This window comes from Homo sapiens, chromosome 3 (assembly GCF_000001405.40).
Source record: "Homo sapiens chromosome 3, GRCh38.p14 Primary Assembly".
Classification (NCBI taxonomy): Eukaryota; Metazoa; Chordata; class Mammalia; order Primates; family Hominidae; genus Homo; species Homo sapiens.
In genome coordinates, this window is record NC_000003.12 from 51,371,185 (window position 1) to 51,398,853 (window position 27,669).

Sequence of the window (27,669 nt, forward strand, 5' to 3'; positions counted from 1 at the left end):
AGAAGGTGTTGATGGTCACCATTTTTGGAGATGAGCTGTCACAATGGCCAAACTCCAGAATATCACACAGAGGAAGGCTGAGAGAAGCCCCTTCCCTTTTGGGGGTAAACATTAAGTGCAAAAATAAACAAAATGGTTAAACAGAACTGGGCCCAAAGAGAACAGTGACAAGATCAGAGGCAGTAAGAAAGAAAGCAAGTCCCTTCTAGACCACAACTTCCATACCATCCATGTGCAGGCTCATCTGGAGAAAGGTGCAGGTCCTACATCTATCAAGCACAGTGTTAGGCCCTGGGAGACAAAATAGAAGGGTCTGTGTGACATGGCATCATAGAGAAAGACTGATACTTTCAAATGTATGTAATAGATGTTGTAGTAGATACACTCTGGGCAAAGAAGGGAGGAAACAGTCCACTCTGTTTGAAGTTTGTGTTTGGTATTACCAGGGAGGGGAAAGCTTTCGTAAAGGTGATCTTGAGGGAAGCCTTTGCATTGGGGTTACTTCCCCCACTCCCAAGAGTGGTCATGAGACCAGTGGTCTTCCTTGCCATACCCATGGACACTGCTGTGATTCCTGTTGCTTTGGAAATGTCTGAGAGGAATGGCCTGCAAGGCCCCTCACACGGATCAGGATATTGAGTATGCAGATGTGGGGTTTTCTTTATGAGCCAGGCTGTGAGCTCCATGAGGTGAGAGACCACGGACAACCTGAGCAAGACAGTATACAAGGTTCCAATCACATGCTTGGTGTGGAATGGGCATTAGATATGGGTTTGATGTTACTGAGTTGGTCTAAAGGTGCTGTGTGTTTTTCGGTGCATACTGAACAGAGAGTAGTCCTGTCTAGAGCTGTGGGCTGCAATGCTCAGGAAGCATTCTGAGAGTTTCTTGCTGGGAAAGCACTGTATCGGTCAATGAGAATAGGTGCTTTTTTCACCTAAACTCTTGTGAGTTGACAGCTCCCCCTGCTGATCAAAAGGCTGATTGGAGCTAGGAAACAGGGATTTTGAATAATCCTTAAGTAATTCGTTGACACTGGGGTTTACTAGACTACAACTCACATAATTCAGAAGTCCCATGAACACAGAAACCCTTGTGTTGTTCAAATGTTTTCATGAAAAGTAACCATCACCTTCTCCTACCATGGGATTGGCTGCCCAGGGCAGAGGGCAGGGGGAGGGAAGTGAAGTGGTAGAGTTAAAAATTTTAGTGGTGGCACAGAGCACCCCTTTGTGGCCACCATAGCCCAGAGAGACCACCATAACATGAGTCTGAATCTTCAGCAGAGCCCCTGAGCCCTGGCTACAGCCTTCAGGCTGCTATATCTCCATCCTAACCCCCTCACACGGATCAGGATATTGAGTATGCAGATGTGGGGTTTTCTTTATGAGCCAGGCTGTGAGCTCCACGAGGTGAGAGACCACGGACAACCTGAGCAAGACAGTATACCAGGTTCCAATCACATGCTTGGTGTGGAATGGGCATTAGATATGGGTTTGATGTTACTGAGTTGGTCTAAAGGTGCTGTGTGTTTTCCGGTGCATACTGAACAGAGAGTAGTCCTGTCTAGAGCTGTGGGCTGCAATGCTCAGGAAGCATTCTGAGAGTTTCTTGCTGGGAAAGCACTATATTGGTCAGTGAGAATAGGTGCTTTTTTCATTTCTCTTTACATAGCCATCTTCTTGAGGTTGCCTAAGAGTACAGGTTCTAAAAGAGAACATAGAAACCAGTAAAATCACAAAATAGCAATTCAGGTCGAGTTTTAAAAATCATATTTTAGTCATTCTCTTACAAGTGAAAGGACATTTTTTAATGACTGGGTCTTAAAGCCAGCCCTGAGGTTCTACAAACAGGATCACTCAGACCAACTGTGGAAAAAGTTACATTACTGGTATTTATTACGCTGACTTCTTCAAAGTATTTTAGCCTCATCTTCTTGGACTGAAATGAATACAAGAGGAATTTCTCAAGGACTCCTTTGGCAAGCTGGCTGAAGAAGACGTATTTTTAGCTGTGTCCTGACAGTGCTGGCACTGCACACTCAAAGGAAAGCCCCAGAGACCCTGAGTTCCAGAGACACAGAGCCTCTAGGAGCTGCAGATTGACCCCAGCTGCAGATTCAGCTGGAGCCCATGGGTTGGTCTAAACTACCCAACTTCACTCAGAGGACACCCCAGAGAGGGGTTTCAACCAATAGAGCCAGGCAGAGGCTTGAGATCCAGGTGATCCTCCTGTGAGGGCTCCGATTCCCCCAGTGGTTTCTCATGGATATGCTGGTATCTGGTACAATGAGCACATTTGGAGGGCCTTCCAAATTACCCATTCCCCCAGGAAAGCCAGCAAGTTACTCTTATTGCTTCTGTGGAAGATCTTCTTAAGGACCATGGGTTGACAAGTTCCTGGACCTACGGCTATGGTCTGAATCCATGGGGACAGAGTCACACCACATGTGGCATGGTGTGGCCTCCATAACAGTCCCTCAGACTAGGGGAAATCACTGCAGAGGCCTCACAGGAGTAGAACATGAATCAAGTCAACTAAAGAGCCTGAGTTAAAGCCCCATAATTTCCACATTAGTTCCATGAACCCTGAGTTCACGGAAGGGCAAGTGTCACAGAGCAAAACCCCGGAGAGCAACCTGTGTGCAGAGCCCTGGCCCCCAGCCAGCCTGGCTCTAGGGCTGCAGTAGGACTGGCAGGAAGGCAGAGGCCAGGTGCTGGGACCTAGAATCTGGAAGGGAGAAGCCTCTGAGAAAAGTCGGTAGGGAGCCAGGTGAGAACAGGGCCAGTGGTGTCAGGAGAAGGTAAGTGCGTAAAGACACAGTATGTCAAGTAATAACAGTGTGGCTATGTTATCTGAGTGTCTCTGTCTCTGTGTGAGTGTCTCCATTGCAAGCTGGCCTGTTCCCATGCCTGGACCCCAGGAGAGCCCAGCATACAGGCCACACCCATTTCCTGATAGTGCTTGATGCAGGGAGCCCCTAGCCACCCTGCTCCAGTTCTTAACTCTCCTCACCCTCTGCTTCTGAGCATGGTGGGGACTCTGTCAGCGGATCTGCATCTCACCAGCCTGCTGTATGTCAGCCTTGGCTGGGACATGAGGTGCAGCCACTGCCACCATCTAACAACCAGACTCTGCTTCATTCCTCCTGTGCTTGCTGAGTTCATCCTCACCCTAACTGTAAGGGACACCTACCCTGGTTCCCTAGTCCTGAGGATGCTTGACTGCTGGACCCTCCATCTGTGGCTTGTCATCTGTGCTTGATTGTTCTCACTTGGTTACAGGCTCTCCCTCTCTGCCAGATAAGTACCGCCATGCCCGTGAAATGATGTTGTTGCTGCCCACATACCGGGACCGCCCAAGCAGTGCCATGTATCCAGCAGCCATCCTGGAGAACGGACAGGTAATAGACCCACCACACTGACTGTCCTCTGCTGCAAGTGTGTTAGCCTGTGCTTCCCTCCTTGCATTTGCGGGGCCTTCTGCATTGTCCTACATGGCTCTCTCATTCCGCTGTAAGATCCCGCAAAAGGCCGCTGGGCTTCTGGATGTGGAGTGCAGTGAACCTGAGGACCAGCAATCCAGACAGAGTGTAGGCGTGAGTAGAATGGTGGCAGGAACCACCATTGGAACCAGCATTGCTCATGTAGCTATCTGTCCTTCCCGCCAGATCCTGGACTCGTCATCCCTAAACAGTCTAGCAAAGGTAATTGGTTCTTTGCAGCCTGTTCTGAGAAGGCAGTGGTGGACACATTGGTCTGGAAGATGTTCTTCCTCCCTATTTGTGGGGCATCCTCACTGGAACAAACTCTGCCTCTTTTATTCATCCATCCAACTGAAGTCCCTCACTACCTGCTGGGGCTGTTCTACATGCCATTTGCACAGCTCTCCAAATGCTCTGCCTGGGGACCTTGAACAAGAAGCTGTAGGGATTAACTCCCTCCCTTGGGCAGTCTGTCCCTGCCCTTCTATCAGGGTCCATAAAAGTCACCTCTCAGTGACCATTACCTAGCCTCAGAATGCCAGGAGTTTCTTAGTGGTACCTCCCTGTGCCTGATTGGCTCTGCCAGGTAGAGGGATGAGATCTGCTTGGCAGCTGCCCATTAAAACAGCAAGTCCTGTCTGTGACTCTAGGCTTGATACTGTCCTTTCCTCTGCCTTCAGTGCTAGCATGGGCCTGTGCAGGGCCTCTCCAGGAGGCTAAACCTGTCAGTGCTCATGGGGAAGTGGGGATCTCTCTAGCCAGACAAAAGGATGCAAACAGATGCTCCCAGGTAGCTATGTTCTGTTTCTTGGGCCCTACATAAGACAGCTGGGTCCTAGCCAGATACTGGAGGATGGTATTGCAAATATTGTGTATAGAAGCACTGAGAACCAGACACCCTGGACAGTCTTTCCTAGGGCTGGCCTGGGGGTCTCAGTATATCTCAAGTGTGAGCTGTGCCACTGCTTTGTTTTCCCCGTCTGATCTTGTAGTGTCCTGTCTCTCGTCGCCCACAACACTGCCTCCCAAGATATAATTGGTTGTTTTCACTCTCTGTAATGTTTATCTCCTTCCTTCAGCCGCCGAATTTCCAGCGAGCCCTGTTCCAGCAAGTGGTCGGAGCCTGCAAACCCTGCAGTGATCCCAATCTGTCTGTGGCTGAAAAAGGTATTGTTGCCCAGGTGGCCTTCCCCCCATGTCTGTCCCCATCCTGAGTGTCTGACTCTTGTCCCTGAGTACCAGCTGGCCAGGGCTAAGCCATACTTCAACACTCAGGTCTGTCCGTCTGTCCAGAATTCTGACCAGTTCTTGTGCTCACTATTTAACCCATGTCTGACTTGATGCTAAGGTTTATATCCTGTATCCCTCCTTCCTCAGGGCCTACCCTCAGAGGTCCCAACTGCCTCCTGCCCTGAGCCCACCTTTATGGAAACTTGGGCTTCTGTGTGCAAACTGTAGAAAACTACTTCCCTAGACTCCTCCCAGCCACCCCCAGAATTCAGCAGGCCTTGTGGCCCCTTTGGTCCCTCTCAGCTTGGGCCCTCAGGGATCTTTCCTTGGAGCTCAGAACAGGCCGTGGCCAAACAAGCCCCAAGAGGAAGGGGAAAGACATGCTATTTCCCAAAGACAGGCTTCTCCAAGTGAAGCCCAGGGTGCCCCAAAGGAGTCCGGTCCTTCTGTAGCCACTCTGGCCAGCAGCTGCTGTGAATCCATCTTTTATTGCAAGGCCACCAACCATACTGTGAGACTGAGCAATCCTCCTTAGACCTGTGGCTGTTTAGAGAGTGGGCATTTTACCCTGTGTTCTGCTTCTGCAAGCCGATGGAAGAAGCAGACTCAGACCTCAGACACGGAGATCTGAGTTAATTTTAACAGAGAGTAATACTAAGTGCTGAGCCTTCCTGCCACCCAGAACCTGGCCTCATATCCGCCCCTCTCCTCACAGGTTCTCTGCCTAGCTGCTCCATCTATTGGAGTTTAGGGCACACTCAGTTCCCACCAATACAACCTGTCATCCCCTATTCCATCAGAACATGTCCCTCCAAAGCTGTCATCATCACGTTATCATCGTATCTGTTCATCGAGTGCTATGTGCTGTCCCCACTGTTATGCTCCGCCTTTGCTCATCATGGAGGACATACCTCTGTGTCCTCTTTAAAGAGACAAAACACTGATGGGCACTGAAGCTGGGTGCCCCACCACAAAGGGCCTGGAGACTGGCTGAAGATGCCTTCATAGCTTCAAGGTCGTATATCCCGAAAACATGCAGCTTCTTGGACTTCTGCACCTGTGACCCAAAACAGAGTGCCCTTTTCGCCTGGAGGGCCAGAATCCACAGTGGCATTTCTTCAGCTGAGATGCAGAGCAACGTCAGAAGTAGCCAAGAGTCTAGACAGGCTTAGAGCTCAAACAGGTGCTGGTGGCCAGACCAGGACCCTACCCCAACCAGACACATTAGCGCTTCAGGCCTCAGGCCAAGGCCAGACTACGACTACATCAAGGAGCTGGACATGCCCACCCCTAGGTGTGGAAGGAAAGGAGGGTTGTCTCAGAACAGAGGCTGAGCCCAGAGCAAGCATATCCGTACCACAAGGCCAGCATTTAGAAGGCAGCTAATCAGACATTTGCCCAGTGGCAACACACAGGCCAGAGCGTAGCTCCCTAAGTCTCTACCTGGATCCTCCAGGGCAGGAACTATACATACTTGTCATCATTCTCTTGTCTGTCAGGGTTCTGAGTCCCATGAGGACTACATCTCTCACTTACAGGTATCTCTTTTTGCCGTGCAGTGACTCCCAGATCAGGTGAGCCTGCCTTCAGGACCATGGGCTATGCACTGGCGGCCTCAGGCCAGTGCTGGACAGTTGTTAATGGTGAGGGAGGGAGGCGACAGGATACAGTTGGGATCACCCTTCTTTTCCTAGGATAAGTCATTCTGTATTAGCCTTCCCTCTAGCCCCAGTGCATTTATGCTACATGGCAAAGGTCTACTGGCCCCACTGCTCACAGACATCAGGCTGCAGGGCAAACTTGATGGCTTCTGGTTTATATGGAGTCACTCAGGCAGGCACCCTTTTGTAAACCATTAAAGCCCTGTAAGCCTTCTTCTCCCATAGCCTTCCTGCCCTAGAGCTCCTTTGAGCCCTTGTGGGTGAACATCTGCACCCCATAATTCTTCCAGGGCTAGGTGTGCATCTGAGATCCTGGGCTGTCAGAACCCCTTTAGGGAAGCCGCCCAGACCCATTTCTAAGCTTCCTATTCCCTGATATTTCTTTGGTGGCTTTTTATGGAGAAGGTGATTTTTTTGGCAGAGAGGGGAAGGTACAGGGAGCCTCAACACCAAGAAGCTCATGCTGCATCTTGTAGGGAGCATGGGTGAGTGGGCCTGTTCTTGGGATGGCTCAGGCTCTCTAAGGAGGCTATTTGGTGAAATCCACCTGATGCTCATCAGATGCAGAATTCTTTCCTCCTTTCAGGCAACAGCTAAGTGTCTTGCCTGCAACTCAATCACTGGCACACCCCTCCTTCCTGCCGCCAGCTATCAACCATACCAGGAGACGGGGCAATTCTCAGAACTGAGGCTGTTTAGACAGTGGAGTTTTACCCTGCGTTCTGCTGCAAGCTCACGCCAGTTCCTGCGCAATGAGGAAGAAGAGGATGATGGATGTCACAGTCTTATCCCTGGACAGCTGAGGGGGCCCAGCCCCTCTGGCCACATCCTTTTCAAAGGACAGACTCTAGCTCCTTCCCTTCCAAAGCCTGTCAGCTCCCATTAGGCCCTGAAATTCCCATCTCTGTGTCTAGGCCAGGAAGAAACCAAACCTCAGCCACCTCAGGCTCAATGTAGCTACCACGGCCTTAGAACAAATCCAGTGACAGCACCTGGATTGTGAGCCGCTTCTCTGCTGCTAATAGCCCAAAGGGGAGAGTTGCCTGGCTCCAACAGAGAAAGGACATATTTCTTTTTGCTGGTATTTGTTCTCTAGGAGGAGCTGGCCAAAAGAATTCACATGTCCACTGCTGCTTCTGCAGAGTGGCACCCTCAGACCCCAAGGTCCAGCCATCATTCCTCTCTCCTCCTGAAAAGTCTGTCATCCCAACTGTGGCTGAGGGGACAGTATTCTGGCAGTGGACTCCTTCTTTAACACAGAAGGGCACTCTGTGCTTCCCTTTTTCCTGGGCCCACTGCACCCCTGCATCCATGGCATGTGGGTGCTAGGAACTGGGGTTCTGTAGACGCCAAAGGGTACTCATCGGCTCCACAGCCCTCCCTCCTCCTGTTAGGAAGCAGTGGGTCCAGCTGGATCTGGGCTGCAGTTTCTTCCAACAGGTACCTGTCCTTGCTCCCTGCTTTTCCCACTGAGCCTGGGCAGTAGGAGAGCTGACTCTAGACTTTGGCAAGGAGCTCTATGTCCTGTGCTCTCTCTATATTCTCTCATTCTCATCTCTACTCTTCTGTCCTGTTTTCTCTTCTCCTCCTGGCAGATCCCAGAGGCTGCAGGCGTTCACTCCTTGCTGCACATTCAGCTATCTCATCCTGAATACTCTTTAGACATAAACTCACTCTGTTGCCCTCCTCTTAAGCAGCTTCAATCCCTGGCCACTCTCCCCTGTGGACCACAGTGCCTTGCTTGGCCAGCGTTTTTAGTTCCAGGTGCTGGCATGCCCCACATGTGTGCTGGATACGTGGTGCACACTGGAGAAGCCACAAGCTGTACTTCTCCCAGAGGGTGGCTCAAGAAGTAACCTCCCTTCATGCCATCTGTTTCCACCCTTCAGCTGTGCCAGCAGCCCCCAGCAGCTGGAGTCTGGATAGCGGAGCCCAAGAGGCCCAGCCCTTCCTGTCTGCCCATATGGGGCGCATCCTGGCCCCCCCAGTGCCTCCCCGAAGCCTGCTGCATGGTAAGAAGACCTCCAGCGGGTCCCCCGATAGTCCCTGGTCTCAGACTCTGCTCAAGGGCCACAGCAACAGCCATCTAAGCTGAGAAGATGGGCCATTCTCTGGGCCGACTCAGCCAAAGCCAAAACACCCCCACCACAGGAAGGATCCTGCTGGGCTTTGGGGTCAGTGAGGTTTCCGAGTACAGCAGGTTAGCTCAGGAAGGCCATCCCAACCAGAAGGCTGAAGACAATGGAATTGACTGTGCCAGGCACACTTCTCACCAGACTGTCTCATCGCCTAGCAGTGGGCTAGAGCTGCCGCTGCCTGAGGCCTGTTCCACAGACTCTGAAGCACTCAACTTCTCTGACTTCCTGTGTGGAGTGAGTTTCTTTTACCCCAGCAGCCTGTGTTTTGGAGAAGGCCAGTGTAAAGAGAGGTTTATCCATAGCCCTCAATGCTGAGGGGTCCCCAGGGGACTCTTCTCATGCCTGCCCAGTTGGCCCAGCAAGATGGTGCTGGCATGAAGTCTGTGCAGGGCCCCCAGCTGAGGCTCTGGTTCTGTTCCCTTTGCAGGTCATTACTCCCTACACTTTGACGCCTTCCACCACCCTCTGGGTGATACCCCCCCAGCCCTCCCTGCCCGGACCCTGCGCAAGGTAATGTACTGAAGCGGCAGCCCCACCAGGCTGTGAGATGAGTCATCTCGTCTGCTCTAGAACCACCCTTGGGGTCTACAGGAGGAACTGGAGCCCTCCCCTTCACCTCTCTCCCCAGCCTGGCAGAAGCTGGGGGTGGCCAGAGCCACACTTGAGCTGCAGGTGCACATTTGTGTCCTGCAGCAAATGTGATGGGGGCAGGGAGATCAGAGGGTCCTGGAGACAACAACACACAGTACCAAGAGTGTGTGGGCAGTGAGCACTGGGAAACCTGGGGGCTCTCAGCCAGCACCAAGGTATCAACACACTGTAGTTCGCTAGCTAAACAAATGTTCCTGTGGTGGATCAGAGAGCATTTCAAACTAGAATTCAGTAAAAGCAAGAACTTTATGAAAAACTCAGGAGAGTAAAATTTCCTACCTGTTAGCTTGTCTGCAAATTGGAAAAGACTGAGTCTATCACAGATTTTAGCAGCAGAATACATTCCTCTGGTCCACGGCCCACCAGGGTTCTTTCTGCCCCTCCTCAACAGGCCTGATGACCCAGCCTTTATGTCAGTATCCCAGAGCCACCGACGGCAGCCTGGGACCTGGGACCAGGGGGCACCAATGCCCAGCAGCCAGGGCAGGGCAATTTTTTGGCCACAGAAATGCAGATGATTCTGGAGTTCCACTGGCTTAGGGGTGGTGGGAGGAGCTGGGAGCTTGCTGCTGAAGAAACAAGAAACATGCTGTTGATGAGGGTTAAAGTTCATTCATAAGCAGGCTCTTGGTCTTCCTATGGCGGGCAAGTCAGCCTGTCTGGAGAGAGGGATTCTAACATGCCCACCCTTTCCTTCGCAGTCTCCTCTCCACCCTATCCCAGCCTCCCCCACAAGCCCCCAGTCAGGTCTGGACGGCAGCAACTCTACGCTGTCCGGCAGTGCCAGCAGCGGCGTGTCCTCCTTGAGTGAGAGTAACTTTGGGCACTCCTCGGAGGCCCCACCTCGCACTGACACCATGGACTCCATGCCAAGTCAGGCCTGGAATGCTGACGAAGATCTTGAGCCACCCTACCTCCCTGTCCACTACAGCCTCTCTGAGTCTGCCGTCCTGGACTCCATCAAGGCCCAGCCATGCCGAAGCCACTCAGCCCCAGGGTGCGTCATCCCTCAGGACCCCATGGACCCGCCTGCGCTGCCGCCCAAGCCCTACCACCCCCGCCTGCCGGCCCTGGAGCACGATGAGGGGGTGCTGCTGCGTGAAGAGACTGAGAGGCCTCGAGGCCTGCACCGCAAGGCTCCATTGCCTCCTGGGAGCGCTAAGGAGGAGCAGGCCCGCATGGCCTGGGAGCACGGCCGAGGGGAGCAGTGAGGGGCAACGAGGCGGCTGGGATGCCGCCCTCAGTAAGCAGCTTGCCAATCACTCCAGGTCTGAAAAGCAAGTCCCCCAGCCCCACCCCAGGGAGCCAGAGAGGCTTGCACTCAGGAGAGAACCACCCCCAAGTCTCCGTTCTACTGCCGTGAACTCATGTGTTGCCATGTACAGAGGCCACAGCAGCATGAAGGGTTGTGGCTTCCCTTTTTATTTTTTTACATTTCCATTTCTATGGGTTTTCCTTTCTTTCCTTTATGCAGTAGATGCTTTCTTCCTCCTGCAGTTCTGGACCATGTGGAGCTACATGGAGAAATTGCACAGACAGAATCACTTTGCCACACTGCAGGGCCCAGGAGTGGGAGCCCAGGCCCTCCCTCCAGGGTAGAGATGCACCGAATGGAAATTGCACTAAGGACCTCTTCCTTTGCTGTATGGACAGAAGAGTTCATGGTTGCATTCAGGGATTGCAAGGACCATATAGACATGTCACAGGTGGAAAAAGGGCCACAAGCCGTTTTGCACAAATGCCTGCCCACCTGCCCCTCTTCCATCCAGGAGTGTGCTACTGAGGGGCTGGCTGGACCAACCTGCTGGCTCAGGCATGTGACTGGCCTAACTGCATGCCCAGGGCACTGCCAGGGTTCAATGGGCCAGCCGTCTCCTACTCCACCTTGGATTTTTCTCTCCATCACATCATTTCTGACCATTTGCTCCCTTCCATTCTTGAAACACCTCATGCCCCACAGGAGCCCCAGTGGTGACTGGATCTGCAAGGGTTATCTCCCGCCCTCTGGGGTTTGAGTGGAGGTATGGAGCCAGAGAGGCTATCCTAGCTACCTTCCTCCTAGGGGGAGCTGGTCCCCTTCCTATGTGGTAGAGAGACTGGTGTAAGAGTGTGGGGTGTGGCAGGCGCCGGAAATCCTCAAAGCTTTCAGAAGCATCCAGAATGCCTACCATCAGCTCCTGAATCAGGGATTTTCAGCACTACCTCTGAGCCATGGGGTTGGCTGCCCAGCCAGGCTTCCAGGCCCTGAGGACATGTGGTCAGGTTCAGCAGGCTCCTGGGTAAAGAGGGTGGGAGGGGGCTTCTCCTTTTGGAAGCAGATAGCCATGCAGGTAGAATTGTCATCTCCCAAGTGGCCACATACAGCAACCCACTCCAGGCCATGGGGACCACCACTCAGGGTTCGGGGCTGGCAGGAGGGTAGTTTCTCCAGTCTCCCCAGTCTGTTGGTGTCTTTATAGGAAACTATAAAGCAGAGCAGTGGTGTCTTTAGAGGAAACTCATTCAAGTCAGGGCACTGATTTTCCTCTCAGTTTATTATTTGGGGGGATAGGGTCAGGTGGGTATAGTAGTACTTTACCAGGGTGCTTTTAAGTTACTTTAAAAAAAGCCTACAAAATATTTTTTTTCTTTTATTTGCTCGAGTTCACATTAATGATGGTCACAAGGCTGCCTTGTTGGGCAGGCGTATTGCCCCCAGTTCCTCTTCTGCTGGCCTGTATGACCTCCACAGCCAGGCCCTGGGCCCAAGCCCCTTGTCCCTTCTCCACTGCCCCTCTTTCCAGACAGTAAAGGCCATGGTCAGTGTGTTTTTCTCTTGTAAACAAACCCCAGCTTGTTTAACAGAAATGCTAATAACCTACTGGGAAAGATGGAGGTCTAAATTACCTCCAGGGTTTTTCTGGGGGTTTATCACCAGTGTGGGTCCCTTCTGATACCACCAGGTTCACTCCAGGCAGAGTGGGGCGGAAGGCTGCTGAGGATATGGGTCAGTTACAGCAGCCCTCACCTCAAAGGGCTGGCCTGCTTCTCAGCCTACATTCATTTGCAAGCTTCAATCTCTGGACCATCTGGTGTTCACAGGTGTTAGAGGGTTAGGGGTTAGGGGCTAGTTTTGGATTTGATTCATAGGTAGGAGGGCTTAGATTTTAAGGCACTTCTGAAAGTCAATCCCTGGACAAGGCAGTCATCACATAAGAACAGCTACCTTCTCCACTTGGTGGCACAAGAGGTAGGGAGGGGAGTATGGGTTCATTTGGCTTCGCATTATGCAAGGTGAAACCGTTTGTTTTCCCTCTCCATTTTCCCTAACTAAATGAAAAGGACACATTCTGAAATCCCTTTTGTTGGAGAATAAGTCAGTCTGAGGGGAAATGGGAGGCCAGAGATGAGAACCCTTTGAAAAGATTGTAAAATACTGATTTTCATTCTTTCAAGCTTATTTGTAAATACCTATTTGAATGCTGTGTATTTGTACAGGAATTTGAGCAAAAAATGTATAGAGTGTGATGTCCAATTGGTATTCAGCACTATAAATGTGTTTTTAACCTCCCGCATTCTGTGCTTATTTAAAACAAGGAAACTTCTAACCATTTCTTTTGTGTATTCATGTTTAAAGAAAAAAAGTGATTTAAAAATGATCTTACCTGTACCAGAAAAGCAAAGTTAAAGGAAACAAAATTTGTACCATTGTCCCAAGAGGTATTTTACTGTATATATTGTGGTAGCATGTTCAAAATCCAACAAGTAATGTGAATTTTAGATGTAAATATCTGCCACTTGATTTTTTTTCCCCCTTTCCCCACTTCCTTGACTGCTGTGATGTGAATTAAAGATAAATACGTGATACTGATCCACTGAATTCACTGAATGGGAGCAGAGGATGTGCCCCTCTCCAACCCTTGTCGCCGGGCTCCAAGCCCTTTTTAGCCCTATAGACATGTCCTTTTTGCACTGAGTAGAGCCAACGGTTCCCGCATCCTGCCTTGAAGGCAGGCAGCCAGGAGGGCACTTGAAAGGAGGGCAGTCGAAAAGGAAACATCCTCCAGTGCTTCTCTGGTGATTCCCGGGACCCCACTCAGGAGGTCCCACGGCAGCGGGGGACCCCGAGGGCCTAGCCGGGGAGGCAGGAGGAGGCTGGCCAGCCACCAAGCCACGATTCAGAGCTTGTAAGGGCACCTCCCGAGCCCCTCACCTTCCCACTCTGAGGCGACCCCATGTCCTCGACCGATGATCTGGCCCGGGCGCTTCCCTCCACGGTCTAGAGTGGCGGCCCAGCTTTGAGCTTGGCGCGCCTTGAGCCCTTCCTTCAGATGTCCCGCAGTCCGTCCACCCCGCACGTCTCCTATCAGCCTATGCACGGCGGGCTCCGGTCAGGTGGAGGATCAGCAGGTGGGCTTTCAAAGGTTGGATCCGTTGCCCACGCGAATGAAAGAAGAAAAAAGAAACCTCTTTGAGCCTTGCCTGCGGCCGCCCGCCCTTCCTGCCTAACCTGTTGTCTTGGCTGACCCCAGAACTCCTGCACCACGAGTCGGAGTCCGGGCGAGGAGATCAGCAGGGGTTTTCGAGGGAGCCTGGGGCCCAGGGCAGGGGTACGCGGGTCAACTCAACAGATGTAAGGCGTGGCCGAACCCCATTCAGCTAGCAGTACCCAGCCTCAGCCACAGTCGCTGCCCTTACCCAAGATGGCGGCCCACACCGCTTCCGTCGCTGCTGTAGTCGCTTCCTGCGGCCAGCCCGGGTTCAATCAGCGGCCGACAACTGTCTAGGGCTCAGACACCACCAGCCAATGAGGGAGGGCAGCGTGGAGCCGCCCGTCTGGGCTCGCGGCTCCTGGACCAATGGGGAAGTGGCATGTGGGAGGGCGCCGGGGGGCCCCCCGCCAATGGGGAGCTACGGCGCGCGGCCGGGACTTGGAGGCGGTGCGGCGCGGCGGGTGCGGTTCAGTCGGTCGGCGGCGGCAGCGGAGGAGGAGGAGGAGGAGGAGGATGAGGAGGATGAGGAGGATGTGGGCCACGCAGGGGCTGGCGGTGGCGCTGGCTCTGAGCGTGCTGCCGGGCAGCCGGGCGCTGCGGCCGGGCGACTGCGAAGGTGCGGGATAGGGGGCCGGGGGCCGCGCTCCGTGACCGTTCTGGCGGCGGCGCTGAACCCCACAACATCACCAGACGGCCGGGGCCAAGAGGGCGAGGGCGGGGGCGGGGGCGGGGGCGACAGCAGGTCCCCGCGGGGCCTGCATGAGGAGGCTCCGGCGCCCGCCCTAGTAAATCTTTCTTGGGCCTAGAAAACATTGGTCCGACGAAGAAAAGTTGAGACTAGATCCCGTTGAAAACTTGTCCTGAAATCTCCATCACTCCTGAGTTATTGTCCCCACCACCATCTAGAGGTTACCGCTCCCCGTTCGGCGTCGGGAGCTCCAGGGCTGGCCGTGGGTGCTGCGCCCTGTCTGTTGGGATCACGAAGCTGCACCTCTGGGTCCGCTGTTGTATTTGGAAATTAGCAGCAGCATTTTGATCATTTTTCTCTTCACCTTCCAGTCTCTCCATTTATGAGGTCACAGTGAGTCCCGTCTCAAGGACACGTGTTCACCATGGGCTTAAACTTGATGAAAGGAGCAGGGAGAAGTCGTTTATAGGTCATTGGGTGATGCTTGGTCCTTTGATGCCCTGGGTGTACCAGGGGACCCCCGCCACTTGGAACCGGGTTCTGTCTACCTGTAGACACCTGAGAAAAATCGGTGATGGAAAAGCTCACCTCTAATGATTCATCTCCGTGTCTCCTATTAAAATTGCTGGCGGAGTTCTTTTCTGGTGGATTGGAACAGCTTGGTGATTGCTGAGCATCTCCCGTCCCTCTCTTTTCCAGTTTGTATTTCTTATCTGGGAAGATTTTACCAGGACCTCAAAGACAGAGATGTCACATTCTCACCAGCCACTATTGAAAACGAACTTATAAAGTTCTGCCGGGAAGCAAGAGGCAAAGAGAATCGGTTGGTAAGTAGCTGGTGATCCTCCCCAACTGGCCCTGGCTCATGTTAACCCTCGGCTTCACCAGCCGTTTGATAAAAGGCCTTGCCCACCTCTCTGTTCAGGAAGCCAGCTACTCTCTCCATAAACTAATGTGAGAAGACTGAAGTGCTTCTATGTCCTTCCCAAAGCAGCATGTGTTCTGCAACTGTGATTTTTTTTTATCCTGTTAGTCTTTATTAAGCACCTACTATGTGCTAGGCACTGGGAATATCAGGGGAAAGAAGTGACAGTCGGACACACAAATAATGCAATGTCTGGGTGTCATGAAGAAAATGGACCAGCAGGTGCTGATTTAGAGTGGCCAAGAAGTCTCTGAGGAAGGGTTATCATTGAAGTGGGGTAAGACCATCCCATACAGGGAACAGCAGTGTGAGTGCCCAGAGGCCTGAAAGAGTGTGGCATGTATGTGGACAGGAGAAGGTGACAGGGTGCCTACAGGATAGGCAAGGGCCGAATCCAAGACAAAAGCCCTAGTGAAGCAATGGGTTTTCTAACTTGAATTTCTCTGACAGTCTCTGGCTTTTCTCTCTGTTAAAGGTTTGAACCCTGGTGACACTTAAATTCATTTGGTGGCTGTCAGCTTGGACTGAGCATGTGTTAAGAGTCCAGGGTTTACACTGGCTGAATCTGACTACCAGTACAGGCAGGGCACCGAAAAATGCCGCTGTGGGCCAGGTGCGGTGGCTCATGCCTGTCTTCCTAGCACTTTGGGAGGCCAAGGTGGGAGGATTGCTTGAACTTAGGAGTTTGAGATCAGCCTGGGCAAAGTGGTGAAATCCTGTCTGCACAAAAAAATTTTTAGGCTAGGCGTGGTGGCTCACACCTGTAATCTCAGCACTTTGGGAGACCGAGGTGGGTGGATCACCTGAGGTCAGGAGTTCAAGACCAGCCTGGCCAACATGGCAAAACTCTATCTCTACTAAAAAATACAAAAATTAGCCAGGCATGGTGACAGGCGCCTGTAATCCCAGCTGCTCAGGAGGCTGAGGCAGGGAGAATTGCTTGAACCTGGGAGGCGGAGGTTGCAGTGAGCCGAGCCAAGATTGCGCCACTGCACTCCAGCCTGGGTGACAGAGCAAAACTTTATCTCAAAAAAAAAAAAAAATTGTTTTAGTTAGCTGGGTGTGGTGGCCCACACCGGTAGACCCAGCTACTAGGGTGGCTGAGAGGGGAGGATCACCACCCAACAGATTGAAGCTGCAGGGAGCCGTGATCATGCCACTGCATTCCAGCCTGGGTGACAGGGAGCCCTATCTCAAAACACAAGTAAGGCCCTACAGAGAGATGATGTTTCAAGGTGTCAGTATGTTTGGAGGAGATGGCTCTCAAGCACCTCCTGAAGGCCATTGTCCTTTATTGCTCCAGTGCTACTATATCGGGGCCACAGATGATGCAGCCACCAAAATCATCAATGAGGTATCAAAGCCTCTGGCCCACCACATCCCTGTGGAGAAGATCTGTGAGAAGCTTAAGAAGAAGGACAGCCAGATATGTGAGCTTAAGTATGGTGAGTATGCCTAGTCCTTTCTTAATGAATGCTGTGCACCTTCTGGGTTTGTTTCCCATCTGGGAGAGGAAAATGATGAGCTAGAGTCATGAGTGGGTTGTATTGTATGACAGATGGTGCTAAATGCTGGAGGGCTCTGGCATGGAAGTGGGTGGAGGTCAGAATAGGCCTTATTGAAGAAGTGATATTTCAGCAAACTTTGAAGGAGGTGAGGATTAGCCAAGAGGCCAGCTAATGGAAGAGGATACAGGCAGGATAAAGGTGTCCAGTGGCATGGCAAGTCAGAGAGCATTGCAGGCTGGTGAGGGCTTTTAATCTGCGTGAAGTTAGGAGCATTAGGAGTTTTTCAGCAGAGAAGGGACATAGTACGACTTGGGTTTAACAGGCTGGTTCTGGCTGCAAGCTCTGAAGCCCCAGTGATTTTTACTATTCTGAAAAGAAACACTATGTCCAAGCATGCAAGCCCAAGAGTTAGGAACTACAGCATCTCTCTTGCTGACTGGGTCTCTGGTGTACATAGTCCCAGTCTTCAGAAACAGTCAGGGCCTCTTCTGAAAAACTTGAATGGCCAAGGACCTGTGTTCACCTACTTGCGTCTTCCTGGTACAGGTCCAGTTGGCTCCAGGTCACTGTGGTCATGGAGAGTAAGTTCCTAACTCAAAGGCCTGAGCAGGGCTGCTCTTTGGCACCAGCCTGGAGTTGTTAGTATGTGGTGACTATGTCAGAGGCACTTGGAAGATGGGAACCATGTTTCTCCTATAAGGACAGTGTGGCCTCTGTCCCTATCCTTGTTCACGCTGCATATCTGTAGTAGACATAATATGTAGCCAGCCTTCCTGGTGAAGAGGCTAGTTCCCTCTTGTGGGGGCAGTAGGCACTGACATGCCTGTAAATGTGTCTGGAAATGTCTCTTCCTCTGAAACCAGTAGGGCTGGTTTGGCCGTTCAGGGAGTGACATACTCTGGGACTACTGGGGGACTGCAGGTGCTCCACCCAGTCAGTGACTCTCCCTGCTCTCTCCTCCAGACAAGCAGATCGACCTGAGCACAGTGGACCTGAAGAAGCTCCGAGTTAAAGAGCTGAAGAAGATTCTGGATGACTGGGGGGAGACATGCAAAGGCTGTGCAGAAAAGTCTGACTACATCCGGAAGATAAATGAACTGATGCCTAAATATGCCCCCAAGGCAGCCAGTGCACGGACCGATTTGTAGTCTGCTCAATCTCTGTTGCACCTGAGGGGGAAAAAACAGTTCAACTGCTTACTCCCAAAACAGCCTTTTTGTAATTTATTTTTTAAGTGGGCTCCTGACAATACTGTATCAGATGTGAAGCCTGGAGCTTTCCTGATGATGCTGGCCCTACAGTACCCCCATGAGGGGATTCCCTTCCTTCTGTTGCTGGTGTACTCTAGGACTTCAAAGTGTGTCTGGGATTTTTTTATTAAAGAAAAAAAATTTCTAGCTGTCCTTGCAGAATTATAGTGAATACCAAAATGGGGTTTTGCCCCAGGAGGCTCCTACCAGTTTCTGCTTTCCAGTTGCAGAGTTTGGGGGGTTATTCATTCCCATTTATCTCTCAACCCACCAGTGCTGAAAATACCAGAGCAGGACATAGGGGCTGGGGCCAGCTGATGTGTGTGGGTGTGTACCACTAGAGGGCAGCAGGCACTCAGCAGAAAGGAGGTGGCGGGGGCGGGGGGTGCTGCGCTTGATACCCTGCCCCTTGATACAGTATCTGTCTTACCCGCCCAAGAGAGCTGGAGGCCACAGCTCTAGGAGGAGTGAGTCTGGGATACATTGGAGGGCCTTATATTGTGGCTCAGTACAAGCAAGACAGGGTGTCTGGAGTGTGGTTTTTCCACAAGGATATCTTCAATCAGTGCACGTCAGCACTGACATCTCTATAAAGATGCTGTTGGCCTGGCCACCTACTTGCTCTTTTGTCCATTCCAAGCCTCTGATGTCTGTTCCAGTTTTTGCAAGTCTGGCAGGAGTCAGCTTATACAAAGAGGGAGTGGGAAGCTGCCTTTTGCCTTTGTTTACCCTAGATTAGTCTAACAGTTGAGGTCCAGGGTTTTGCTGGAGTCTGCTTCTTAAGCCACTCTCTGTGGCACTGGTGCTTAGGAAACCCAGTTGTTAGTGTGAGCTGTGGCTCAATGAAGACACCTGTAGAAACCACCTGAAAGGACGGACTAAGAACCAGTGCTTTCCAAGTAATTGGTCTTGCCTCAGATCACTTCACTTGTGTCTCCTAAGCTCAGTTTGCCTGTAGGAGGCCTTGCTGCTGTGGAACCCATTGCTTTCTTCCAAGACCTTTCCCCCTGCACCTGCCTGAGCTACTCCAGGAGCTGCTTTCTCTTTGTGCGAAGAGGGCATGACTTGGTCTGCTCTTCCCCATCGCAAGGATTCTGTGCCAGAAATTGGGTCAGGTTCTACCATGGCTCCAGCAACTGTCCTTGGAGAATGAAAGCTTCCTCAATGGGCTTGAGCACCTGGGCACCCTTTCCCTCACCTCACCTGGGGAGAAGAGGTCGTCCTGAAGGTGATGAACAGGAGGGTACTGGCCAGCGAGGGGTCAGCGTGGCAAGGTGTGATAACTGCTGGCACTATCTGTGCATATGGCCTCTTCATCCTTGGCTCTTACGGCCCTACCTTTCCAGCCTGCTATCTGCCCACAGAAGAGGGTGGGACCCAAGAGTGGCGTTAAAGAGTCTATTCCAACTCCATCAACTGCAACTGCAGGCTTGTCTCTGCTTTCGGTTATTACCTGCGTGACAGCAATTGTCCTCACGGCCTTTTCGGGGACTGCTGCAGGTGAACCTGCACGTGGAGAATGCGCAGAATGTGGGCCTTGGGTCCTGGGCAGGGTCTAAGGATAGGCATGCATTAGTCCTTGGCGCCGTCAACGCCGGATCCCAGGCAGGAGATGCCAACGAGGGTGATGTGGGGTTTGCTCAAGCCTAGTCCTAGGACTGAGGGGATACTACATAAAGAGACCACTGACTGGGTCAATGCCCCAGATCCCAACGGCCATGGAAGCTGCCACTCCTGCTCCAATCAGCGCGGGCTCCAGTGCCTGCAAGAGGAGATAGCTGGACCCAGAGCGGCAAAGCACGGCTGGGAGCACAAAGCGTTAGGTCGTCTCGCCGGCCTCTCAGGGTTCACTACACTCCGCGTAGCCTCAAGCATCGGCCATGCGGGCCGCGCGGTGGCGCCAGAGCGCGCGGCCGGTCCCACTCACCCAGCACTCACAGGGTCACCTGGCACTGGGCGACGCAGCGCGATGAGGCAGGCCCGGCGCGGGTCTTGCTCCGCCCGCCGCAGAGTCACGTGGCAGGACGGCGCACCTTGATAACGCAATGCCCGGCCCCTCGGCGCCGCTCCCGCCCCGCCCCGCCGCCACCGCCGCGCCGAGTCCTTTTGTCCAAGATGGCGGCGCCGGGGGCGCTGCCTCCTCGGCCGCCGCCTCCGCCGCCGCCGCTGTGAGAAACCTACGGGCCGCCCGCCCGCCGCGCCAGCGCCATGAAGCGGCAGAGCGAGCGAGACTCTAGCCCGAGCGGGCGCGGCTCGTCATCGTCCGCCAAGCGTCCGCGGGAGCGCGAACGGGAGGCGGAGGCGGGCGGGCGGCGGGCGGCGCACAAGGCCTCTGGCGGCGCCAAGCACCCGGTTCCAGCGCGGGCCCGCGACAAACCCCGCGGCAGCGGAAGCGGCGGGGGCGGGCATCGCGACGGCCGCGGCACCGGGGACGCGAATCACCGCGCGAGTAGCGGGCGCTCCTCGGGCTCCGGCGCTGGCGGCGGGGGACGCGGCGGCAAGGCCTCGGGGGACCCGGGCGCCTCCGGCATGTCGCCCCGCGCGTCTCCTCTGCCGCCGCCTCCGCCACCGCCTGGGGCCGAGCCCGCGTGTCCCGGCTCATCCGCGGCCGCGCCTGAGTACAAGACGTTGCTCATCAGCAGCTTGAGCCCCGCGCTGCCCGCCGAGCACCTCGAGGACCGGCTCTTCCACCAGTTCAAGCGCTTCGGCGAGATCAGCCTCCGCCTGTCGCACACGCCTGAGCTGGGCCGTGTGGCCTACGTGAATTTCCGGCACCCACAGGACGCACGCGAGGCCCGCCAGCACGCCCTGGCCCGGCAGCTGCTGCTCTACGACCGCCCGCTCAAGGTAGAGCCCGTGTACCTGCGTGGCGGCGGCGGGAGCAGTCGGCGAAGTAGCAGCAGCAGCGCCGCCGCTTCCACGCCTCCCCCAGGGCCGCCCGCGCCCGCCGACCCGCTCGGCTACCTCCCGCTACACGGAGGCTACCAGTACAAGCAGCGCTCGCTGTCCCCCGTCGCTGCCCCGCCCCTGCGGGAGCCCCGTGCCCGTCACGCCGCCGCAGCCTTCGCCCTGGATGCCGCTGCTGCCGCCGCCGTGGGACTGTCCCGGGAGCGGGCCCTGGACTACTACGGGCTGTACGACGACCGTGGGCGCCCCTATGGCTACCCAGCTGTGTGTGAGGAGGACCTGATGCCCGAGGATGACCAGCGGGCCACGCGCAACCTCTTCATTGGTAACCTGGACCACAGCGTATCTGAGGTGGAGCTGCGAAGGGCCTTCGAGAAATATGGCATCATCGAGGAGGTGGTCATCAAGAGGCCTGCCCGTGGCCAGGGCGGTGCCTATGCCTTCCTCAAGTTCCAGAACCTGGACATGGCCCATAGGGCTAAGGTGGCCATGTCGGGCCGAGTGATTGGTCGCAACCCCATTAAGATAGGCTATGGCAAGGCCAACCCCACCACTCGTCTCTGGGTGGGTGGCCTGGGACCTAACACGTCACTGGCGGCTCTGGCCCGAGAGTTTGACCGCTTTGGGAGCATTCGGACCATTGATCACGTCAAAGGAGATAGCTTTGCCTATATTCAGTACGAGAGCTTGGACGCAGCCCAGGCCGCCTGTGCTAAAATGAGGGGTTTTCCCTTGGGTGGACCAGACCGCAGGCTCCGCGTGGATTTTGCCAAAGCAGAGGAGACTCGGTACCCCCAGCAGTACCAGCCCTCGCCACTCCCTGTGCATTATGAGCTGCTCACAGATGGATACACCCGGCACCGCAACCTGGACGCCGACCTGGTGCGGGACAGGACGCCCCCACACCTTCTGTACTCAGACCGAGACCGGACTTTTTTGGAAGGGGACTGGACCAGCCCCAGTAAAAGCTCTGACCGCCGAAACAGCCTTGAGGGCTACAGTCGCTCAGTGCGCAGCCGGAGTGGTGAGCGTTGGGGGGCAGATGGAGACCGTGGTTTGCCCAAGCCCTGGGAAGAGAGGCGGAAACGGAGAAGCCTTTCCAGTGACCGTGGGAGGACAACCCATTCACCATATGAGGAACGGAGTAGGACCAAGGGCAGTGGGCAGCAGTCAGAGCGGGGCTCCGACCGCACCCCTGAGCGCAGCCGCAAGGAGAACCACTCCAGTGAAGGGACCAAGGAGTCCAGCAGCAACTCCCTCAGCAACAGCAGACATGGGGCTGAGGAACGGGGCCACCACCACCACCACCACGAGGCTGCAGACTCTTCCCACGGGAAGAAGGCAAGAGACAGCGAGCGCAATCACCGGACCACAGAGGCCGAGCCCAAGCCTCTGGAAGAGCCAAAACACGAGACCAAAAAGCTGAAGAATCTTTCAGAGTACGCTCAGACACTACAGCTGGGTTGGAATGGGCTTCTGGTGTTGAAAAACAGCTGCTTCCCCACGTCTATGCATATCCTAGAGGGGGACCAGGGGGTGATCAGCAGTCTCCTCAAAGACCACACTTCTGGGAGCAAGCTGACCCAGCTGAAGATCGCCCAGCGCCTTCGACTGGACCAGCCCAAGCTTGACGAGGTCACACGACGCATCAAGCAGGGGAGCCCCAACGGCTATGCGGTCCTCTTAGCCACCCAGGCAACCCCCAGTGGGCTTGGCACTGAGGGGATGCCCACAGTAGAGCCCGGTCTGCAGAGGCGGCTTCTCAGGAACCTGGTCTCCTACTTGAAACAGAAGCAGGCCGCAGGGGTGATCAGCTTGCCAGTGGGGGGGTCCAAGGGCAGAGACGGCACAGGCATGCTCTACGCCTTCCCACCCTGCGACTTTTCCCAGCAGTACCTCCAGTCAGCACTAAGGACATTGGGCAAGCTAGAAGAAGAACACATGGTGATAGTCATCGTCAGAGACACTGCCTAGCCCAAGCCTGTCTTTCCCAGCGTCATGTTTGTGTCACAAAAGCAGTTATTTTAAAATCTGATCCCCTCTCTACCCTACCACTTTGGTTTGAATTATCTCCTGGGTTATTTTGGTTCATTTGGGTGGGGATCAAAGTCCTGTCCACCACCAAAACTAAGTTCTTAGATTTTGGGGGATTTTTTTTTTTAAACGATGAGAAGGGAATCCGGTTATGTTGATTTCTAGTGTACAAGATACTGTCTGCTGTGGTTCTGTATTTTTTTATTTTTTGACCAACTGTATGGAAAGTTGTCAGTAAAACCTTTGACAGAGGATGGATTTTTAAACCTGTTCAGAGTCCTGGTTTAATCAATCAAGCTAAAAGAATCGAAGACATCCCTAGTGCATGTACACGAATGCCCTACGTCATCCTTCCAGCACCACTGCTGCATGGGTCACTCTCGGCCTCTCAATTCTTCAGGCTCAGTCTGGACTCTACTTACACTCATTTTTATCTTGGCTGACAGCAGGCAAGCTTCAGTTTGGGCTGTGGACGCTGCCACACAAGCCTGAGTAGAGCCCATGCAAAGGAAGGGATGGGGTGAGCGCAAGGCCTGTGGTCAGCAGCTACTGATGGTTTTTTCTGCCTTAAACCGTGTGTGTGTCCATCATCATCAGTTTGAGCTGTGGCTGTTTGTTTGGGACAGAGTGCCCACTCAGCATGTTTGGCAGCAGGTAGCCTTCAGCAGCTGTGTAGTCTTGTACAAGGAGAAGCTGTGCACTGTTGATGCCAGGGGGTCTCGGGGCCCCTGATCTGTCCAGGCTCCTGGTTCGGCCTACTTTCTAGCCTCACTCAGCCCAGGGATAGCCAGTGTTGGGAGACAGAGTTGCCTCAGGTTCCCAGGGGCCCGGGAGTCCAAATACTGGAATGGAGGGTTGGAGGCAGCCTTCCTTGGATTTACTCATGAACTTTGCCTAGTTGTTTGTGATTTTTGGCTTTCTCTGGTCGTTCAGGGGTGATGGGTAATAGAGCAGGCCCGTGTCCAGTCATACCTAGAGATTTGTGGGGGGATACTGAACCTCTAGACTGAAGTACTTACCGGGGAGCACAGTGGACTAGGGGATGCCCTTGATAATGACGGTTTCCTAGGTGCAAGATCAGAGCATGTGCCTACACCTTGTGCCCTGATGCCGAGGTGGAGACCATTGGGAAATAATTAATAGATATTTTTCTGGGGGGAAATCACAAGTCACTGAGGTGTTTGTTTGTTTGTTAGGCAGTGCTAGAGCTTGAAGCCACTCAAGCCAGTTGGGGAGGAAAGGGATGCGGAGGTACCCTCTAGCTGGGAAGAAGGGTGAGATTCCGTCTTCTTCCCTGTCTCAAGTAAGTAAGGAAGGTACTGCGGACAGTGTGGGCCAGGGAGGAAAACCAGAGCACACAGTTTTGTCACCATGGAACACCCCAAATGCCATTCTTCAGCGTGTCTGGTACCTTGGATGTTCAAACAGGGAACACTGTCAGGGCTGAGGAGAACAGAAGCTCTGGTAAGCGAATGAGCCCCTAGATGATAACCAGGAACTCCAGGTTCTGCTGGCCGTGGCATCCTCTCTCCAGGTCTGCTCCCTTACCGGAGCTAGGATAAGGTAGCATGAGTGACACCTGAGATTAGAGGCTGGGGCTCACTGCAGGCTGTGGAGAGGTCATGCTGGTCCACAGGAACACTTGGCAGTGCTCTCGTAGACCCCTCGGTGATGTGGAATGGACAGGTGCCTCGCAAGAGAGCAAGCACGTTCATAACAAAACAGCAACACAAAGACATGTTAAGCATGTTTATTTATTTGCCTGTTTTTGTTTTTTTACTTGAGCTGTGGTCACAGCTGCCAGGTACCTAAGCAAGTCAGTTGGGTACAGCAGGACACGCCACCATTCCAGGGTAGCTGGTACCGCCAGAAACAGGAGTGGGTCTTGTCCTGTTGCAGGCACACTGCAGTGGTTTTCCTGCAGCTCTCCAACAAACGCCTGAGTCACAGGCCAGAGCTGCCTTGGTATGTTGTTAAGTCCAAAACTTCTTCTCTGGGCTACCTATCTTCCTTCATGAAGCAGGTGCTCAGGACCCGGAAGAATCATCTACCTCCCAGCTTTGTGAGACAGAACCAAGTAAAAGGAAACATGCTAGAAAACGTGCCTAGAGAAGACACTTCAACCTTTGCCTTATCCAACCCCTCTTCAGAGAAAGGTGTCCCATGGCCCCAAAAAGAACTGCCAAGTTTTGGTGAGGAGTAACACCCTGGCATGACATTCCTTCTCTTTCCTGGCCCTCAACCACTTCCTTCCTTTGGCTCTTAAGACCTAGCAGGTTCTGTGAACTCTCAGGCCTTGGCCAGCACTAGTTAGGGGAGGTCAGGTGGTCAATGTCCTGGTGATTTTATGAGACTGCCCCACTGAGAAAACTTACTTACTTCAGGCATCCAGTGCCCCCACCCAGGGTTCAGGCCCTGTCTAAGGTGTTGCTTAAAGACAAAAAGGCAACATGTGCCTCACTGGTGGTGTGCCACTGTTCTCATGCTGCCTCCTAAGTGACTCCGATTTTCAGCCCTGGTAGAATAAGGAAGACAGCTGATGCCTCCTTAGCCCCTTAGCACATGTTCCTAAGGTGTGTTGTCAAGCCAACCTGAATTCTGCCTCCCTGTTATAGTCCCTGTCTCCCCCACAGAGACCTGTGGGTGCTCCCAGCAGAGTTGAGACTGGCTCCGTTGAGTTAATGACTAGAATATAGTGCTTTCACTACTTGATTGTTAACCTGTTTTCTTCTGATGCCATCAGTACCAGCAGTCAGACTATTCCACTGGTTAAGTGTTTACTACCATTAAAGCGAGGCATGAAGCAAAGAGCTGAGTGAGTCCTCTGCTCTCCAGAGGACCAAGAAATACCTGTGTGACACAGACCCACTTCAGTGTGTACAGCAAATTCTATAGTGCTTCTGAGCCCAGCAGGGCTTTACCTGCCCCTGGAGAGTTTTAGCCGTCTTGTGTTTCTTGTTTACTTCACAACCAAATTTGTCCCCTCTTCTCTCTGTTAAGGGAGAGAAGTCACTTTAGCTGGATAATACCTATGTAACAAACTGAGCAGCTGTTATTTGGGCAAAATCAAAGGAAGAAAGAGACTATGGTCTTCTATTTATTGTGGGAAGGAAAACAGGGTGGGGCGGGTGAGTGAAAAGGTGGAAATCCCTGGTACCTTGCCTGGTGGTTACACAGTTTAACCATAGGCCAATTTTAGGGGCCTCTGAAGTATCTTTCTACAAACGCAGACAAGCTCCACTACCCCTAACCTGCCAGGATGCTCAAGTCCACTGTCACAATCCCTTTCAGAAAACATTAGTGGCCGCTGCCCCAGCTACAGAGACGGCCGAAATGCTTTCACTCCTTAGCTTTGCCAACTCCATCCTCCAAAACTTCCCAGAATACCTCCCTTTCCAGTTCTACCAAATCTGTACTTGGGAGCAGCCTGCTGGATCCAGAACATGACAACAGAGAGCTGCGTCCACAGGGAACAAAGCCCTGACCTCTCTCTCCACATTACCCTTACAAAAACAGGCCCTCCCCATGAGAGAGCTACACGGCAGGGGCAGACACTGTGAGTATAAGCTACTTTCCTCCCTGGAGTGCTCTATGTGGGCAGAACATGCTCTCCTTGCCTCTCCTGGAAGGTGTCTTCTCTATGGCCTGGCTAGAGCTGCAAAAAAGGGACACACCCCACTTCGGTAAAAGAAAATAGGGAAAGGCCATAAACAAAGACAGACTTGTAGTTTATTTTGTATTTTTTTTAAATAAATACACTTTACATTAAAGAAAAAGGCCTTTGATTTGTAATTTCCACAATGGGGAGAAAGGGAAGAAAAAAAGATTTTTGAAAAACTGAATCACAAAGAAAAATAGAGGGAGTGAACTTATATCCTAAGTTCCCTCAACTCCACAAAACCAATATCCACAATGACCATGCTGCCCCCAAACCATGAAGGTGAGTGAATTTAGGCATTTACCCAGCAGACAGAGTGCCTTCCTCCCCACCTCTGGCACGAAGGAAAACAAATTAACCTGACAGCATATGAGGCAACAAAACAGGTTAAAAAATCATATATTATATTTATAATAAAATATTCTTAATCCTTATCAATTTAAGAAACCACGATTTTCCTTTTCATTTAAATACGTATGTAAAAATGCCTCTATATTGTTCTTTAGACATCATTTTCTTCCAAAGAAAATGAAGTGCAGGGACAAGAGACCTGGTGGATATAAGTTCATACCCTCAGTTATAAATGCCTGTTTTTTTTTCCTTTTTAAAGTTTTATAAAAAACTATTTCTTGTTCTTTAAGTAAAGAACACTATACAAAGAAAATATATTGTGAAATACCCCAGAGACATGGTTTTTTTTTCCCCTTGAAAGATATGTCCATCCTAGGAAATGGTGGGGGGTGGATGTGGGGGGTGCAGAGTAGGGCCTAGTCCCTGTTGTCATTTTTGTGGTGGTTATTGATTCTGGAAGGACCCTCGGGTGCCAATGAGGCTCTCTAAGCCATAATCTTCTGAATGCAGGGCATGCAGCTCCTTAAAAGACAGACAGCCCTGGGAGAAAGAGAAGGGAATATGTTCTGAATTCATTTGACTCAGTTTCTCGCCTGCCAAGAATCTCTTCCAAGCAGTGATGGCTCCTCACTCATTCAGAGATAAGATGATGTCATCTTCCAAATCAGAGTTGTCAGAGCTGTCAGCTGAAAGGGAAGAAAAGGGAGAGACA

General features: G+C 52.8%; 4 protein-coding genes across 73 annotated transcripts in view, besides 8 other annotated features; 3 read left to right on the forward strand and 1 right to left on the reverse strand.

The window, feature by feature from the left end:
• The window catches only part of DOCK3 (dedicator of cytokinesis 3), a 709,272-nt gene extending 696,258 nt beyond the window's left edge, over positions 1–13,014 (forward strand). For 15 of the 28 annotated variants that reach the window (XM_005264914.4, XM_006713008.4, XM_006713009.4 and 12 more), the window contains 5 exons: positions 3,285–3,403; positions 4,564–4,651; positions 8,265–8,387; positions 8,941–9,023; positions 9,866–13,014. In XM_005264914.4, the coding sequence (XP_005264971.1) occupies positions 3,285–3,403; positions 4,564–4,651; positions 8,265–8,387; positions 8,941–9,023; positions 9,866–10,375 (923 nt within the window). In that variant the 3' untranslated portion in view covers positions 10,376–13,014. The other 13 variants (NM_004947.5, XM_047447600.1, XM_047447602.1 and 10 more) reach the window with 6 other exon arrangements.
• Positions 13,523–13,872: an enhancer, noted in NCBI's record as "active region_19917". NCBI's record gives its function as "activates an Ori minimal core promoter by ATAC-STARR-seq in GM12878 lymphoblastoid cells {active_cell/tissue: GM12878}" and the evidence as "EXISTENCE:reporter gene assay evidence [ECO:0000049][PMID:35858748]".
• Positions 13,933–14,302: a silencer, noted in NCBI's record as "silent region_14408". NCBI's record gives its function as "represses an Ori minimal core promoter by ATAC-STARR-seq in GM12878 lymphoblastoid cells {active_cell/tissue: GM12878}" and the evidence as "EXISTENCE:reporter gene assay evidence [ECO:0000049][PMID:35858748]".
• Positions 14,107–18,213, forward strand: MANF (mesencephalic astrocyte derived neurotrophic factor). Its single transcript, NM_006010.6, has 4 exons — positions 14,107–14,252; positions 15,024–15,151; positions 16,553–16,694; positions 17,721–18,213. Exons 1-4 carry the CDS (start codon positions 14,159–14,161, stop codon positions 17,903–17,905), a joined length of 549 nt encoding a protein of 182 aa, NP_006001.5. The 5' UTR covers positions 14,107–14,158; the 3' UTR covers positions 17,906–18,213.
• Positions 19,575–19,624: an enhancer, noted in NCBI's record as "active region_19918". NCBI's record gives its function as "activates an Ori minimal core promoter by ATAC-STARR-seq in GM12878 lymphoblastoid cells {active_cell/tissue: GM12878}" and the evidence as "EXISTENCE:reporter gene assay evidence [ECO:0000049][PMID:35858748]".
• Positions 19,945–20,424: a silencer, noted in NCBI's record as "silent region_14409". NCBI's record gives its function as "represses an Ori minimal core promoter by ATAC-STARR-seq in GM12878 lymphoblastoid cells {active_cell/tissue: GM12878}" and the evidence as "EXISTENCE:reporter gene assay evidence [ECO:0000049][PMID:35858748]".
• Positions 20,101–26,724, forward strand: RBM15B (RNA binding motif protein 15B). Its single transcript, NM_013286.5, has one exon. The coding sequence runs from the start codon at positions 20,216–20,218 to the stop codon at positions 22,886–22,888; it is 2,673 nt and encodes an 890-aa protein (NP_037418.3). The 5' UTR covers positions 20,101–20,215; the 3' UTR covers positions 22,889–26,724.
• Positions 20,465–20,544: a silencer, noted in NCBI's record as "silent region_14410". NCBI's record gives its function as "represses an Ori minimal core promoter by ATAC-STARR-seq in GM12878 lymphoblastoid cells {active_cell/tissue: GM12878}" and the evidence as "EXISTENCE:reporter gene assay evidence [ECO:0000049][PMID:35858748]".
• Positions 20,655–20,714: a silencer, noted in NCBI's record as "silent region_14411". NCBI's record gives its function as "represses an Ori minimal core promoter by ATAC-STARR-seq in GM12878 lymphoblastoid cells {active_cell/tissue: GM12878}" and the evidence as "EXISTENCE:reporter gene assay evidence [ECO:0000049][PMID:35858748]".
• Positions 21,610–22,115: an enhancer, noted in NCBI's record as "H3K4me1 hESC enhancer chr3:51430225-51430730 (GRCh37/hg19 assembly coordinates)". NCBI's record gives its function as "activates a minimal SCP1, AML or CMV promoter by ChIP-STARR-seq in naive H9 embryonic stem cells {active_cell/tissue: H9 hESC(naive)}" and the evidence as "EXISTENCE:reporter gene assay evidence [ECO:0000049][PMID:30033119]".
• Positions 22,116–22,623: an enhancer, noted in NCBI's record as "H3K4me1 hESC enhancer chr3:51430731-51431238 (GRCh37/hg19 assembly coordinates)". NCBI's record gives its function as "activates a minimal SCP1, AML or CMV promoter by ChIP-STARR-seq in naive H9 embryonic stem cells {active_cell/tissue: H9 hESC(naive)}" and the evidence as "EXISTENCE:reporter gene assay evidence [ECO:0000049][PMID:30033119]".
• DCAF1 (DDB1 and CUL4 associated factor 1) overlaps positions 24,683–27,669 on the reverse strand; it is a 109,773-nt gene continuing 106,786 nt past the window's right edge. For 20 of the 43 annotated variants that reach the window (XM_005276755.6, XM_047449273.1, XM_047449272.1 and 17 more), the window contains one exon: positions 26,658–27,643. In XM_005276755.6, the coding sequence (XP_005276812.1) occupies positions 27,585–27,643 (59 nt within the window). In that variant the 3' untranslated portion in view covers positions 26,658–27,584. Of the gene's footprint in view, positions 27,644–27,669 lie in introns of all 43 variants that reach the window. The other 23 variants (NM_001171904.2, XM_047449275.1, XM_047449269.1 and 20 more) reach the window with 4 other exon arrangements.

Excerpts from the sequence above, each read along its gene's own strand:
- RBM15B (NM_013286.5), top strand. The coding sequence starts at position 20,216 with ATGAAGCGGCAGAGCGAGCGAGACTCTAGCCCGAGCGGGCGCGGCTCG.
- MANF (NM_006010.6), top strand. The coding sequence starts at position 14,159 with ATGAGGAGGATGTGGGCCACGCAGGGGCTGGCGGTGGCGCTGGCTCTG. Across the intron at positions 14,253-15,023 it reads GCGGCCGGGCGACTGCGAAG|TTTGTATTTCTTATCTGGGA; the intron begins GTGCGGGATAGG and ends TCTCTTTTCCAG. Across the intron at positions 16,695-17,720 it reads GATATGTGAGCTTAAGTATG|ACAAGCAGATCGACCTGAGC; the intron begins GTGAGTATGCCT and ends TCTCTCCTCCAG.